A 16289-nucleotide genomic window follows, 5' to 3' on the forward strand; every position below is an offset into this window, starting at 1 on the left:
AATTTGAAATTTTTAGATGTCCTAACATACAAATCAAACAAAAGATAAAAGATGATTGCTATGTAATAACTTACAATATAAAGAAACTATAATCATAAGTATTACAAAATGTACATATTTAATATTTTATTACTTTTATTATTTATTTATTTATTTATTTATTGAGACAGGGTCTCTTGCTCCAGGGTTGCCAAGACTGGAGTGCGGTGATGTGATCATAGCTCACTGTAACCTTGAACTCCTAGGCTCCAGCAATCTCCTGCTTCAGCTTCTTGAGTAGCTGGGACTACACATGTGCACCACCATGCTCAGCTAACTTTTATTTTTTTTATTTTTTGTAGAGACAAAGTCTCACTATGTTGCCCAGGCTGGTCTTGAACTCCTGTCAAGCAATCCTCCCACTTCAGCCTCCCAAAGCATTGGGATTACAGGTGTGAGCCACCATGCCCAGCCACTCTTATTTAATTAAAAATAGCAGTAGCATAACTGTAACCACGTAAAGTATTCAGGGGAAAAAAAACCCCAGAAAATTCCAATTTGCTCTTTTTAACCAAATACTGAGACGAATGCCATATCACTATGTAGATTTTGATACAAGGTAAATTTGACTTGACTCTTACTCCAGGAGTTTAAGCTGTTAAAACTATAAAAAATATAATAAAGAAACTTAGTTATTTAATTGTATTCATTTTCCTTTTGTAGAGAAAATGTACCTGGAAGTGAAGCCAGTTAGCAACTTAGCTCAATCCTTTTAGGAAGACAATACATTGGTCAAGTATCACGTCTCTATGTCCAGGGTCACGCCCTCACCTCAACAAGTATGGGAACTTTATTTTTAAGCTTGCAGAAATATACAACTTCAAGGTGACTAATTCATAAACCAAACTGATAAGATATCAAAAATGGCAATACTAACCAAGCGAGCATTGATTTGCTGTGGGAAATTCATCTGCCAAGAAAAATGCATATTCATGTTGACTGATCAAAAAATTGTTTCCCCTGAAAGAAACCCTACACAGGACACCAGATCATTGCTGGAAGTTTGCTTGATTCATGTGGTGGTCAAAGTAAAGTCAATTAAGTGGTATTAAGACTAGAGACATGAAGTTCTTCTCCTAGCCTTAGGTACACATCTCACCTAAGAGAAGTCTGTCCAGCCAAAAGGGATTTTTGCTTCAGCTGTTTTGCATGATTTGCAGACACAGTGGCAAATTTCTACTCTCCCACCTATTTCTAGGCTGTCTGCAAAGCAACACCCTTTTGCTAATACTTTTTGTCTTTAAGGCAGATTACATTACAATGTGTGATTATTTTGATTCTAGGAATGGTTACTTTGTTTTGTTGTGGGTGTTACCCAGATCTTTATCAGTGACGCATTTACAAACTATCTTCTGGAGTAGACTACTTCTGCAGATGACTAATATTATCCATTAGTCATTTCACACTCATTATACATATATTGAGAAATCACTACTATGTTCTATACTATCAATGTTTTCAGTGGTGGCCAAAGTGTTATAAAAAGCACACGGAATCTGAAAGTCAGGTAGACCGAGTTCAATCCCTCTTGAATCCTCAACAAAAATCCCAGGGATGCAAATATGAGTCAGCTACATCCCCTGATCCTCTGTTCTTGATGGTGAATCTAGTTGGGAGCACATACTGAAAAACTGTGAGTTTAAACAACAACAACAACAACAACAAACAGAGAAATGTGGAACAAGCACAACGAAAATAGAAAGGAGGGAGAGACTTTTTTTCTTTTTTTTTTTGAGACGGAGTCTCGCTGTCGCCCAGGCTGGAGTGCAGTGGCGCTGTCTCGGCTCACTGCAAGCTCCGCCTCCCGGGTTCACGCCATTCTCCTGCCTCAGCCTCCCAAGTAGCTGGGATTACAGGTGCCCGCCACCAGAAGGAGAGATTATTAAATGGACATGTACTACCAGCTAGGAAGCATACATATGGTAATTTTCTTAATTCTCACATCAACCCTATGTGACATGCTTTAAGACTTTCCCTTTTCATGATTACCACAATGAGGCTCAACAGGCTTAAGAAAATGTTCAAAGTCCCCTGGTTAAGAAAGATCAAAGTAAGACATTCACACTCAGGTCTCTATGCCTTTAGTTCACGTTACCTACTGCTCTGCTAGACTGACCCTAATACACTACCCTGGGGTAACTGATGGAGGCTTTCTTGAGGAAGTGACAGTCCACCTATAAATTCGAATAGATAAGAATTCATGAGTTGGAAAAAAAGCACAGAGCATTTTAGGCTAAGAGAAGCACAGACAGAAATGTATGAGAGTGGTCAGATCATCAGGAACACGGGCCTCACTCCACCAACCAAACCAGAAGATCTGGTATTAGGGCCCAGACATAGGTATTTTTATAAAACACCCCAGATGATTTTAATATTAGGTTGGTGCAAAAGTAATCATGATTTTTGCTATTATTTTTAATATGCAGCCAGAAAGCATGGGTCAAGGGGGTCAAATAGATGTTTTACTTTTTAGTTTTCAAATGATTCCTAATAGAGGTCTAGTGGGTTGTGGCAGAGTTACATTTGGATGTGAGGAAGGAAAGAATAACAAAGACTGGAGAGTGTAGGTAAAGGCAGTCAAGTCAAATGTGGGGCTGGCAGCATGAAGGGATTGGTCAACTGGAAGTGGAGAAAGATCTAGAGTAATTGGAAGGAAGGAAACAACTAAAAACCTAATCCTCACTTCCAATTAGTACAAGCTCATGGACTATGTTATGAGCTGAATTGACTCCCACAAATTCGTATGTTTGAAGCCCTAACACCTTGTACCTCAGACCATGACTGTATTTGGATATAAAGCCTTTAAAGAGAAAATCAAGTAAAAAATGTGACCATTAGGGTAGGACCTAATCCGTTCCTACTGGTGTCCTTATAAGATGATGTTTGGACACACAGAGAGAGACATCAGGAGCACACAGACACAGATGAAGAGGCAATAAAAGGGCAGCCATCTACATGTCAAAAAGAAAGGCCCAGAACAGATCCTTCCTTGAAAGCTCTCTGTGAAACCCACCCTGCCAGCACCTTGATCTTGGGTTTCCAACCTCCAGAAGTGTGAGAAAGTGGATTCCTGTTGTTAAAGCTACTCAGACTCTGATATTTTGTTATGGCAGCTCTAGCAAACTAATACAGACTAAGTGAAGGAAGGAGGGGGACTTAGCCAGCTGTGGTGACAAATGGCTCTCTCTATCTATGCAAGAATCACTTCATCTACCAACAGAGATAGTTTAAAATCTTCTGCTATTAGTAATCAATTCTTAATGGAGGACATTTTTGTTTTCTACTAAGAAGCTAATATGAATGTCTTGTTTCTGAAAGTTCATCGAAATCTTTAACACTAGAAAGGAGGAGAAATGGATCAGTTTGGTAATGATAAATTTGGAAACGGATATGTAAAGCATGGACTTGATTCCATTATTGTAAAAACAAACAAACAAAAAAAAACACAGTTTTCAGGGATTTTGAAACTATTTATCTCCAAAGCAAGGCAAAGAAAGACTAAAGAGATAAGTGTGTGACTAAATTGATTTTTAACAAATCCAGCATCTTGGTAGTCAAGGTAGTGACCTTATAAAGCTTCCTATAAAATACAATATCCAAATTTCCAAACAAAGGGGAGGCTACACTTCTGTCATTTCTCTAGCTATTCATCTGATCTTTCTGAATATTATCTGAACACTTTTCAAGTATAGCTAATACATTTGGCCCCAAACATTTTGCTACCTGCTTGGGATAAAACTTGATTACAGATTCATATTCTGTAAAACGGAAAAGCTAAAATGTATTAGTGCTTTGTTTGGAGAGAAGTGGTCAAGGCTAAAAATTATTTAAAAGGTGCACTACGAATTAAAATAAAATCCAATGGAAAATTATATGTTTAAGAAAGAAGAAGAAGAAGCCTTTGCAAAGTGAGACATCAATTTAGGGGTGAATTTCTGGTGACTGTAAACAATGGAATGAGGCCATTTCTCCTTGGCATGCAAGCACCAACTGGAAGCAAGAATGGGACCGGACAGTGGAAACTTTCTGTCTGCCATCTTTAGACAGCATGTAGTAAGTTACCTATAAACATCCAAATGGATAAAGTAAGTACAAATATATCCCAAATTTAGAGTCTTCTCAACACCAAAGTCAACTGGGCCGTTCCTTTGTCTGAACCACAGTTATCCCTTGCCTGGTTTCTGCAATAGTCTGTTAACTGGTCTCACTCCCTTCAGTATATTTGAAACACAAAAGCCAAAATAAACCCACTAAACTGTAGGCCAGATTCTGTCACTTCTCAAACATCTTTCAACACTAGCTAAAATTATTTTAATGGCCTAGAACGCCTTCAGTGATCCAGCTCTTTGCGGCGGCTCTTCCCGCTATGCACTCTGCCCCACTGCTTCTCAAACACACCAGAGACAGTCCCATTTCAAGGCCTTTGCACTTGCTCTTCCCTCTGCCCAGAGTACAGTTTCCTTCACCAATCCCAAGACCAGCTCCTTCACTTTCTTCCAGTCCTTTTTCCAATGTCCCATTCTCACCAAGGCTTCTCTAGTTCTTCATATTTCAAATCCTTCTTTTCTGTTAATTTTTTTTTCTTCTTGGCACCTATCATTATCTAGCATACTGTATATATTACTTATTTATCCTATTTATTGTCTGTCATCTCCAGCAAATATGGTATCTTTTGTTCACCTTGGTATCGCCAGTGTATTGTCCATAATAAGCATTTAATAGACATTTGTTGCGTTGAAGGATAAATGAATGAACGAATGCATGGATTAGTGAATTAACTTTTAAGTCTTTTGAAAAGTAGAAAAAAGTGCTGCCAGGTTGGAAAACTTTAAAAATTCTTGATGTCCAGTCACATTTTATATTAGGTAAATAAGAATATTTGGGGATGGAACCCAATCATCAGTTTTTTTTTTAAAGCTCTTTAGTGATTCAAATATTCGGCCTAGGCTCCAAAAACCATCAACCTAGAGCATCATTTCCAAATTATAAAGTGCTCACAGAACTGCTGAGTATCTTGTTAAAATGTATGTTTTCATTTCGTAGGCCTGGGGGAGACTGGAAAATGCACATGGCTAACAAGCTCCTGGAATGCCCGTGCTGTTGCTCTATAGGACCACAGTGAGTAGCAAGTTCTTAGATTCAAGTCAGCCTTGATGAACCTTGAGATACATTTTAACATGTTCTAGACTTCATTTTCTCCTGACTTGTCTTATTTGGTTTTATGTTTGCATTATAGTTTATCAAAAATACTTTTTAAAATGCTATAAATGCTACATAAACACAAAAATGAAGACAACCTTTTGAGATATCTGGTTTTTTGTTTTGTTTTGTTTTTGGAGCGGACGGAGGTAATAACTAGAAGTTAAAATAAATATTTACTTATAGCCACCGTTTTTTAAAGGGGAAAAGAGTAAATCTAACATATTACCTACATTTTATATCATGTATTTTATTCCAGAAAACTCTGTTTGAAAAGGCAAACATTCAACAAAAATTGTACCCCAGATGAAGAAGTAATAGAGAGTAGGAGGAGAGAGACACAGGCTTAGAAGCAGAAAAACTGTGCCATAAATCCCAAATCTTTTAACTTGTGGAAAATTTTTGCATCTACAGGGCTTTTTTCTTCTTTGTAAATTGGAGATAAAAATAATGTCTACCTCCTGGGGTTTTGAGAAGATTAAACATAATAATGGACATGAGCACCTTGGACAAGTACCTGGCCTCAAGTAAGCACCAGTGCATATAAATACTTATTCTCTTTCTTATACCTGGTTAGATAAGAGTTAAAAATGTATCCTAGCAGTCTTGATACAAAAAAACAGTGAAGAAAGCTCTTTAATGGTACAACTATGTGTCATCCTTGTCTAGGAGCATAAATTTGCACAGCAGGCAGTGCAGTGAAAACAGCTCATAATCAACTCATCACCTCTCATCATTGCTAGGATCAAATGCAAATGGGAAAGAATGCCACTTCAGTCATTGCTAGTGAAAATTAGCATCTGTGACACTAATGGTGTCTCATTTAGTATGCACTTTAGATTAAAAAGAATGGTTAAAAAAAAGGCTATTTCCAGAACTGTCATTATTCTAACGTTTCCCTCAAAAATAACAATGGTACTTGAATCTCCTTTACTCAAAGAAAAACCTGCTAAAATTTATTAACACGGATCATTAATCCCTCTCAAGTAAAGGCCAAGATGTTCTAATTACAGTCACTAACTTTAATTTGTGGGATCCATGTCTTTCTATTTTCAAAATTTCTTCCATATTCTTTAACCTGGACCAAGTTCTACCTTTAGGTAACAATGGGATTCTTTCATAACATTGGGTATATTAGAGTTCTTAACATAAAGCTTAAAATGAGTTACAGTTGTACTGATACACAAACATTTTTACACACATATTAACAGACTTGCTACAAAGAAACAATAAGACAGGGATGCCCTCTCTCACCACTCCTATTCAACATAGTGTTGGAAGTTCTGGCCAGCGCAATCAGGCAGGAGAAAGAAATAAAGGGTATTCAATTAAGAAAAGAGGAAGTCAAATTGCCTCTGTTTGCAGATGACATGATTGTATATCTAGAAAACCCCATTATCTCAGCCCAAAATCTCCTTAAGCTGATAGGCAACTTCAGTAAAGTCTCAGGATACAAAATCAGTGTGCGAAAATCACAAGCATTCTTACACACCAATAACAGACAAACAGAGAGCCAAATCATGATTGAACTCCCATTCACAATTGCTTCAAAGAGAATAAAATAAATAGGAATCCAACTTACAAGGGATGTGAAGGACCTCTTCAAGGAGAACTACAAACCATTGCTCAATGAAATAAAAGAAGATACAAACAAATGGAAGAACATTCCATGCTCATGGGTGGGAAGAATCAATATCGTGAAAATGGCCACACTGCCCAAGGTAATTTATAGATTCAATGCCATACCCATCAAGCTACCAATGACTTACTCCACAGAATCGGAAAAAACTACTTTGAAGTTCATATGCAACCAAAAAAGAGCCCGCATCGCCAAGTCAATCCTAAGCCAGAAGAACAAAGCTGGAGGCATCACGCTACCTGACTTCAAACTATACTACAAGACTACAGTAACAAAACAGCATGGTATTGGTACCAAAACAGAGATATAGACCAATGGAACAGAACAGAGCCCTCAGAAATAATGCCACATATCTACAACTATCTGATCTTTGACAAACCTGAGAAAACAAGCAATGGGGAAAGGATTCCCTATTTAATAAATGGTGCTGGGAAAACTGGTTAGCCATATGTAGAAAGCTGAAACTGGATCCCTTCCTTACACCTTATACAAAAATTACTTCAAGATGGATTAAAGACTTACATGTTAGACCTAAAACCATAAAAATCCTAGAAGAAAACCTAGGCATTACCATTCAGGACATAGGCATGGGCAAGGACTTCATGTCTAAAACACCAAAAGCAATGGCAACAAAAGCCAAAATTGACAAATGGGATCTAATTGAACTAAAGAGCTTCTGCACAGCAAAAGAAACTACCATCAGAATGAACAGGCAACCTACAGAATGGGAGAAAATTTTTGCAATCTACTCATCTGACAAAGCGCTAATATCCAGAATCTACAGTGAACTCCAACAAATATACAAGAAAAAAACAAACAACCCCATCAAAAAGTGAACAAAGGACACTTCTCAAAAGAAGACATTTATGCAGCCAAAAGACACATGAAAAAATGCTCATCATCACTGGCCATCAGAGAAATGCAAATCAAAACCACAATGAGATACCATCTCACACCAGTTAGAATGGCGATCATTAAAAAGTCAGGAAACAACAGGTGCTGGAGAGGATGTGGAGAAATAGGAACACATTTACACTGTTGGTGGGACTGTAAACTAGTTCAACCATTGTGGAAGACTATGTGGCGATTCCTCAAGGATCTAGAACTAGTAATTCCATTTGAGCCAGCCATCCCATTGCTGGGTATATACCCAAAGGATTATAAATCATGCTGCTATAAAGACACATGCACATGTATGTTTATTGTGGCACTGTTCACAATAGCAAAGACTTGGAACCAACCCAAATGTCCATCAATGATAGACTGGATTAAGAAAATGTGGCACATACACCATGGAATACCATGCAGCCATAAAAAATGATGAGTTCATGTCCTTTGTAGGGACATGGATGAAGCTGGAAACCATCATTCTGAGCAAACTATTGCAAGGACGGAAAACCAAACACCGCATGTTCTCACTCATCAGTGGGAATTGAACAATGGGAACATCTGGACACAGGGCAGGGAACATCACACACCAGGGCCTGTTGTGGGGTTGGGGGAGGGGGGAGGGATAGCATTAAGAGAAATACCTAATGTAAATGACGAGTTAATGGTTGCAGCTCACCAACATGGCACATGTATACATATGTAACAAACCTGCACATGTACCCTAGAACTTAAAGTATAATAATGGAAAAATAAACAAAGAAACAAAGACAGATAAAACAAACAAAATCCTGTAAAAAAAAAAAAAAAGTACATAGCTTGAGTGAGTATCCATACTTGAACCAGGCTGTATGTAGTAGACCAAGGGTGTATTACCCTGTAGCCCATGATGGCTTTGAATGTGGCCTTGACGGCTTTGCATGTGGCCCCACACAAATTCATAAACTTTCTTAAAATATTATGAGATTTGTTTGTGATTTTTTGTGGTTTTTTTTGTTTGTTTGTTTGTTTTTAGCTCATAAATTATACTTCGTGTTAATGTATTTTATATGTGGTCCAAGAAAATTCTTCTTCTTCCAGTGTGGCCCAGGAAGGCCAAAAGATTAGACACCCCTAGAGTAGACTGAAGAAACTTCATTCACTTTACAAATATTTATTGAGAGTCTACTACGTTGAAAGTATTATGCTAGCTGCAGAGGGAGGATATGTGGTGCTTACTTCAATATTAGGTCATTTTTTAAAATATTTGAATATTAAGAAAGTTGTTAGCCTGGACAATCTAGCAAAACCCCCATGTCTACAAAACATATAAATACTAGCTGAGCATGGTGGTGCAGGACTGTGATTCCAGCGACTCGGGAGGCTGAGGCAGGAGAGTCACATAAGCTCAGGCATGCTGACGCTGCAGTGAGTGGTGATTGTGCCTGCACTCAAGCCTGGGTAACAGAATGAGACCCTGAAAAAAAAAAAAGGAAGGAAGGAAGGAGAAAGAAGGAACGAACGGAAAAGAAAGAAAGTTTTTTTACAATTGTAGGTGTTGACATGTGTGTGGACGCCTAGAGAGATTTCTTTGATGAACTTCCTGCATAGTCAGAGACAGGAATGACGATTTCTAAACTTACAGACGCTCTTACAGACATGGTTTCCCTGATCTCCATAAACTTTAGCTGGCAATTCAGGTGGAAACAGAAATAATATCTACAGTCCTGTTGCTTATAAAGGCAGTATATTAAGAACAGAAGTATTGGAAATTAACATATTTCATGTCAGTTTCATTTTTCATCTAACTCTGTGTCTTCTTCAAGGTAATTGACCTTCCTTATGCCTTAGGCTCTACATATGAGGCTAAATAAGAGTCATTCTCTCACAGTTGTTACAAATATTAAATAAATTAGTGTACAAAAAGCTGTAAGCACAGCAACTGACATGAAAATAAACCAATGATAAATATAGAAAAATAAAATATTTTAGTTGGAAAAACAGACAAGGAAAATTGTTATGTTCTATAATTTAAGCATTTATAGAGTGTAATGCAATAACATCTCATCAAATCTGAATATTGTATATGCTTAAAAGTTTTTAAAATCACTATCAGTAATGGACACTAGTAGTAAGAGGTAAAACAGCCAGTTGTGGTTGCTCATGCCTGTAATCCCAGCACTTTGGAAGGCTGAGGTGGTTTGAGATGGGAAGATCACTTGAACATAGGAGTTTGAGACCAGCCTGAGCAACATAAGGAGACCTCATCTCTATAAAAAATTAAAAATTAGCTGGGCTGGTGGCATGGTGCCTGTGGTCCCAGCTACTCAGGAGGCTGAGATGGGAGGTAGCTTGAGTCCACCCAGGAGGTTAGGGTTAGGGTTAGGGTTATGTGATTGCACCACATCAACTCCAGCCTGGGTGACAGAGCAAGACTCTGTTTCCAAGGTAAAGGCAAAATTCAAGAATAAAGATAACAGTACCTTGCATGTATGTTAAGCAAGCCTATTTTTAACTAACCTAAGTACAGAATACTTAACTATTATTCTCCTATTTCTTTTCTAATTTGGAATTTATCTGTATACAGTAGAGAGTTCTGAGACACACATTAAAGCCCTTAGAAGTTATTAACATTCCAGTACATGCAATGGGTTTCTTTTGTAATAATTCTGCAAGAATTTACCAGTTTCTGTTATAGAATATCTCTGGTCTCTGCCTCTCAGCCTATACTGTAAGTGTCTTACAATAAATTTGAATGCTACTCTTAATTTTGAGCTATTCAAAGGAGAGAACCTATACTAAAAATAGAGAAAGAGAGAAATAAAGGATGAAAAAGAGGGTACACTAATGATAACACTACACATGGTAAAACTGTATTTTAACATGTATTTGGACTTACTCTTTTTAAATTCATGAACATGTTTATCGATAAGTTTTAGGAATATAAGAAAATAATGAATTATTTTTGATATAGGACTGAAAATCTATTGCTACATATTATATAAATGAATGTTTTGAACCTTCTCATAACTGTAAGACCTATTTGAAAATACTAATAACAAAATCTTTCTCCATTAGCTTTCAATTGGAAAGTTTGATCATTTTTAATTGAGGTAACATTAGTTATAATATGCATTGCATTTGAATTGTCCAATAGGTCACTTGAAATAGAACCAATGACAGTTAACAAAAGCTAAATGATTAAATATTTTCTTCATTTTTTATATTGTCAGTTTTTACCCTACTATAGGATTTACAATTTAAAAAAAAACCACAAAAACAAGAAAATTCCTTTCACAAATTCTAAGAGTATAGTATGAAGAGTTTATGTTTCTTGGTTAGGAAATTTTGTAAACTAATATCTGGTATGTAGTTAATCAGTGAAGACAGTGATTCCCTATATTTCAGACCAATTTCTTGATGGTTCTGTTTCTAAACATAGACCCTTTCTAGACACAATTTCTCTTCAGTAAATGAAAGGATTTGCACTCCTTTTTCTATGAGCCTTTTATTTGTAGGGATTATCACAGCATCCACCTCTGCCAATTTTTTTTCTTTTTGAGAAAGGGTCTTGCTCTGTTGCCCAGGCTGGAGTGCAGTGGCACGAACACGGCCCACTGTAGCCTTCAATCTCCTGGTCTCAAGCAATCTTCCTGCCTCAGCCTCCTGAATAGCTGGTACTACATGCACGTGCCACCATGCCCAGGTAATTTTTGAATTTTTTGTAGAGATGGGGTTTTGCCACATTGCCCAGACTGGGCTGGAACTCCTGAACTCAAGTGATTTACGCACCTCGGCCCTGCAAAGTGCTGGAACTACAGGTGTGAGCCCATGCACCTGGACAGATACTGCTCTTTATTCATATAATATGCAAAGAAAATTACCCACCAAAATAAATGTGAATTATGAGGAAAGGAGTTATTTTAAGACATAATTACAAATGGAAAAATATCACTTCCATGTTAAAAGGAAACAATCCAACTGAATGTATGAAAAACATGCCTGTGCCTCTATATTCACATCTCTTTAAATTCATGCAGAATGAAACCATCTGTCTAATGAAAATAAGAATTCATTCACAACAAAACTTAGCATTTCCAATGTGACCATTTTCTGTGATATGTTTTGTTCAAAGATGTATATTTTTTCAAAATTTTTTTTATTTTATGAATAAGGAAGTCAAGATTAACAATATTCCAAGTGTATTATAATAGTTACTGCTCTTAAGCCAAATGATGATGATGGAGTAAAGTATCATTTTGACAATAGTTTAATGTTGTAAATATGACTCTAACTCACTATAAAATACAGGCTTTATTAAATACTCTCTCTTTAGATTTTAAATACTTTGAGGTATATCATTCTCCATATTAACTTTTATGATCTTCCCTAAACCTACTATTGTTAACTATTTGTTGTACTTAATCAAGTAAATATCATATAAAATTAATCTTAAATGGAAGCACAAGCCATGCTTTTAAAAACTTTTCTGTATTATTTGGAAAATGTTACTTTGAGTTTTTCTTATATTAGGGAAAAAGAAATCATGATACGTTATCTAGCTACATTTTAAACTAAAGATGCTTGTCTATCCATTATTATGCATATGTGTCAGAAAGAATTAATATTCAAAATCATTTATTCTCAGTTTCCAAAGATAAGAAATCATTTATTTTTGTTTCCTTCAGAAAAACTTGGATGGTAACTTCCAAAGAGTTTCAAAATATTGACCATTGTTCAATGTCTCATCAATTCAAAAGGTCATAACAAATGAAATAAACCAATCTCTTTCTCTGAAAATGGGTGCCTAACATATAAAGACTGATAGACAATAAATCAATCCTTAAAAAAAATCTGGACTCAGCTATTGTTTATCTCAGAAAGAGACTAAAAATTGTATTTACCTGAGAAAAGAAATGTACAAGTATTGGAGAAATTTTCTGACATTGGTACTTTGTAAATAGTTGTTTTACGTTATTAATAAATCTAGAGTTCTACAATAGAATTTGAACTTTATCCCATGTTATACTTTTTTTTTTTAAAAGTAGCACTTATTGCCAAGACAAAGAACAGAGTAACATTCCACATATTACCAATTTGTCAAGTCTACCAGTATATGGTGTTTTGATGCTTCTCAAAACACAGCCCGATTTTTTGTGTAGTAATAACATTAGTTCGAGAGAATAGCAAATATACATCTTTACAACGAGCTATCATGATTTAACATTCAAAAATGAGAAAAGTCTTATATTTAACCATAACATTTCCATTTTACAACCTTCTTATAACTCTATTTTGAAGAGCTAATTACTTAAGAGATAAAATTCATTCAGTAGACTGTTCAATAGACGTTGACAATCTCATAGTCATTAAAAACATGCAAGAAGATTTTATAATAACAAACACTCAGAGACCACTAAATTGATTTTCTTGAAGTTGAACTGAACTCAAACTTCACTTACAGATGTAAATGTTCCAATATGCACCATAAGACAAAATTACAGAGACAATAATTGCTAGGTGTGATTTAAAATCTAACTTTGCAATTTAATTTTTCCGTATTTGCCATGAGGCATTAAACCCTATGTTTGACTTATGACTGACAGATGAGAACATTGTATGTGTTCAAACACACATATGTGTTTATTTTCTATTAAATAGTTTGATTTTATTTAACTATGTATGAAATCACCTTACCTTTGGTTTTTGATGTTTCTCCTTCTCTGAAACATTGGATGGCTTTCTCTTGAGCATTTTGAATTCTGACTACTCCTAGTGAGTGCACTTTCTGCTGTTACAGAAACAACTGAAAACAGTCAGCAGTGTGCTGTCTAATGCACAGCATCAGATAAGGTTGAGCCCAGGGACCTGCCACTTCCTCCTTCAGTCAGGATATGACTTCAACATTTACATGGGTAATTTTTTTTTCTTACAGTAATTCTTTGGTAACTCTTTATTGTCTTGCTATTTTCTATGAGGTATGTTCCAAATCTCATATTTAGACATGCCTGCAGTTATGAGAGCCATAAGGATTTCAAAACAAAACTCATTTTCTTGGTTTATATAAAAGTAAAAATTTACAATGCATTCCATGGGTAGAAAAAAGAAAAAATCGGAGCCAATAACTGAAATAAAACTTGAGATGTTGGTTTTCTATTATTTAAAAAAAAAAAAAAGAATACTCAAGGTAGTCAATTTTGTATATATTTTTTCTTTTTTTGATACGGAATCTCACTCTGTCACCCAGGCTAGAGTGCAGTGGCATGATCTCGGCTCACTGCAACCTCCACCTCCCGGGTTCAAGCGACTCTCCTGCCTCAGCCTCCCAAGTAGCTGAAATTACAGGTGTGTGCCACCATGCCTGGCTAATTTTTTGTATTTTTAGTAGAGATGGGGTTTCACCATGTTAGCCAAGATGGTCTCGATCTCCTGATCTCGTGATCCGCCCACCTCAGCCTCCCAAAATGCTAGGATTACAGGCATGGTATATTTCTAAATAAACACAGTTAGAAGATAAAATAAATAAACAATGTTAGAAGATAAAATAAGTTAGAACTTAAACAATACTAATCCTACTTAAAGCATGTATGCATATATTTTAAAATATGGATTAGACCCATTCTAAATATAAATGGGAACATGACTAAAAGTAAATGTTTATCATATGTTACTTTTCTAATGTATTAAGATGTTGTAAAGTTCTGGTTAACAAAGAGATCAATTAAACAGAACCCCCAATTAACCATATGTCTTTGTGCTACAAACGATGCCATATACTGATAATTGCTGCCCTGGTGATGAGCCAATGGATCAACGGTTTCTTCAAATAAAACACCCAGAACCTCTATTTAATAGTCCTGGTAGAGCTAATATGACTTATTAAGAGTTTCCCCATGGTTTAAAAATGTTTATGATAATGAAAAAAGCAAAATACCCAGAAGTAAAAGCAAAAAGTTCAAGCTTTATTGTTAAATGGGGATTTACCAAAGGGAGATTTGCAAAATATATGAAACTCTGGTTCCATTTGAGCAACCCAGATTAAGAAAATAAACCTAGATTTCTGTTTATAAATCCTCTGAATTGAAAAGTGTAGTGCCATATTCTTAATCAGCAGCTTTTCCACGTGACAAATCAACTGACTCTATTTCTCAAACTTCCCTCACACTTCTAAGCTCCACCCCAAGGCCCAAATTTTACTAATTCATTTAACAAATGAGATTCAAATTTCACTAATTTATTTAATAAATATTAAATTGATTGTCTATTATGTGCAATTTGACAATATTTCAAACCTCTTGACTAGCTAAAAACAACCTGTTTTTGTTCTATAACAGAATTGAAAGAATATACTTTTCATGATTATGGTTAATATGCCTATTATTTTATTACCAGATAATAAAAGCAGACTTTGATTTTTGAGAATTATTGAGTTAGTGTTTTCAAAATACTGACACAGACAGAGAACACTGGAAAACCTGAGAATGTTGAGGTGGGGTAATTCCCCAGAAATACATCTTTTAGACTTTCAGTTTGGGCTTGGGTTAAGAAAGTTGGCTAGGCAGATCTTTTGCTTCATCTCTTAAGAAATTGAAAGTCATAAAAATACGTTTTTAAGTGAACCATTTGCACCCTCGACACCCTCTTTTCTTCATCTATGAATAAAAATTTAATTATGGAGTTCAATCAGTAATAAAATGGCAATGATAATGCTTGCACTTAGTACATGGTAGAGTTTTGTTGATAGTAAAATGAAATACCAATAAAGGACATACTTATTAGATGATTCATCATTTCAGTAATGTTTTATGTCAAAAAATGTTTGTGAACTCTAAAAAGGCATGAAGTTTCAGTTTGAGGTGGTGCTTGCTATAGGTTACATTTCTCCAATGTTTCTATAATACAGTGCTAAAGAATAGAGAACAGTCACATTTATGAGACCCATATCTGGACTAGATGCAGTTTTTAAAAGCGTTATACTCAAGCAAACAAAAAATATATATCCATTTATGGATCTCTAGGCACTTCACCATCTTTAACATTACAAGAAATGTTTAAAATGTAAACAAAATAAATATTTTCCTTCAAGTACGGGTGGAAAAGGATTTTTCCAATCTTTCTTTCACTCAAGAAAAATGTTTTCTGGGGCTTAAAAGACAGATGTGACATTTGAGGTCCCATTCATTATCTAACTATGTTAAACTTCTTGATCCCCAAAAAGATCAAGTGACAAGGTTACAAATGTTTTTATCAATTATCTACTATTTTATGGTATTTGGAGGACACCGAGATATTTAGTGAGTGACACAGAGTGACCCAGCAAGCTCAAAAGTCACAGATGGACAGAACAAGAATGAAGCAGAGAGTCAGTACAGAGCACACCTCACTACTGACCATGATTAAACCACTAGCAACCCTGTTGCTTAACATGTATTCTGAAATAGGGAAATTGCAAAAGCACAGTCTTGGTGCTTTACAATACCTTAATGGTCTTACATCCCAGACAGAATGGAACTTTGTGTACTATCTCTGTGTCATGAATCATGAG

General features: G+C 35.8%; 1 protein-coding gene and 1 long non-coding RNA gene across 10 annotated transcripts in view, besides 4 other annotated features; one reads left to right on the forward strand and one right to left on the reverse strand.

Annotated features, from left to right (window-relative positions):
- LOC124905053 (uncharacterized) overlaps positions 1–5765 on the forward strand; it is a 61200-nt gene extending 55435 nt beyond the window's left edge. Inside the window, exons 2-3 of the long non-coding RNA XR_007067925.1 lie at positions 5083–5157; positions 5653–5765. This is a non-coding gene — a long non-coding RNA (uncharacterized LOC124905053). The remainder of the gene's footprint in view (positions 1–5082; positions 5158–5652) is intronic.
- Positions 1–16289, reverse strand: part of SAMSN1 (SAM domain, SH3 domain and nuclear localization signals 1) — a 174190-nt gene that overhangs the window by 47536 nt on the left and 110365 nt on the right. For 6 of the 9 annotated variants that reach the window (XM_011529685.1, NM_022136.5, NM_001286523.2 and 3 more), the window contains exon 1: positions 13442–13552. The exons of the other annotated variants lie outside the window; for them this stretch is intronic. In XM_011529685.1, coding sequence (XP_011527987.1) covers positions 13442–13498 — 57 coding nt within the window. In that variant the 5' untranslated portion in view covers positions 13499–13552. Of the gene's footprint in view, positions 1–13441; positions 13553–16289 lie in introns of those variants that run through there. 9 annotated transcript variants of the gene reach the window in all.
- Positions 828–2027: an enhancer, noted in NCBI's record as "P300/CBP strongly-dependent group 1 enhancer chr21:15905912-15907111 (GRCh37/hg19 assembly coordinates)". NCBI's record gives its function as "activates an origin of replication core promoter dependent on BRD2, BRD4, P300/CBP, MED14 and CDK7 cofactors, with strong dependence on P300/CBP, by STARR-seq in HCT116 cells {active_cell/tissue: HCT116}" and the evidence as "EXISTENCE:reporter gene assay evidence [ECO:0000049][PMID:35650434]".
- Positions 902–1001: an enhancer, noted in NCBI's record as "active region_18273". NCBI's record gives its function as "activates an Ori minimal core promoter by ATAC-STARR-seq in GM12878 lymphoblastoid cells {active_cell/tissue: GM12878}" and the evidence as "EXISTENCE:reporter gene assay evidence [ECO:0000049][PMID:35858748]".
- Positions 9597–9646: an enhancer, noted in NCBI's record as "active region_18274". NCBI's record gives its function as "activates an Ori minimal core promoter by ATAC-STARR-seq in GM12878 lymphoblastoid cells {active_cell/tissue: GM12878}" and the evidence as "EXISTENCE:reporter gene assay evidence [ECO:0000049][PMID:35858748]".
- Positions 11362–11411: an enhancer, noted in NCBI's record as "active region_18275". NCBI's record gives its function as "activates an Ori minimal core promoter by ATAC-STARR-seq in GM12878 lymphoblastoid cells {active_cell/tissue: GM12878}" and the evidence as "EXISTENCE:reporter gene assay evidence [ECO:0000049][PMID:35858748]".

This window comes from Homo sapiens, chromosome 21, assembly GCF_000001405.40.
Source record: "Homo sapiens chromosome 21, GRCh38.p14 Primary Assembly".
NCBI lineage: Eukaryota > Metazoa > Chordata > Mammalia > Primates > Hominidae > Homo > Homo sapiens.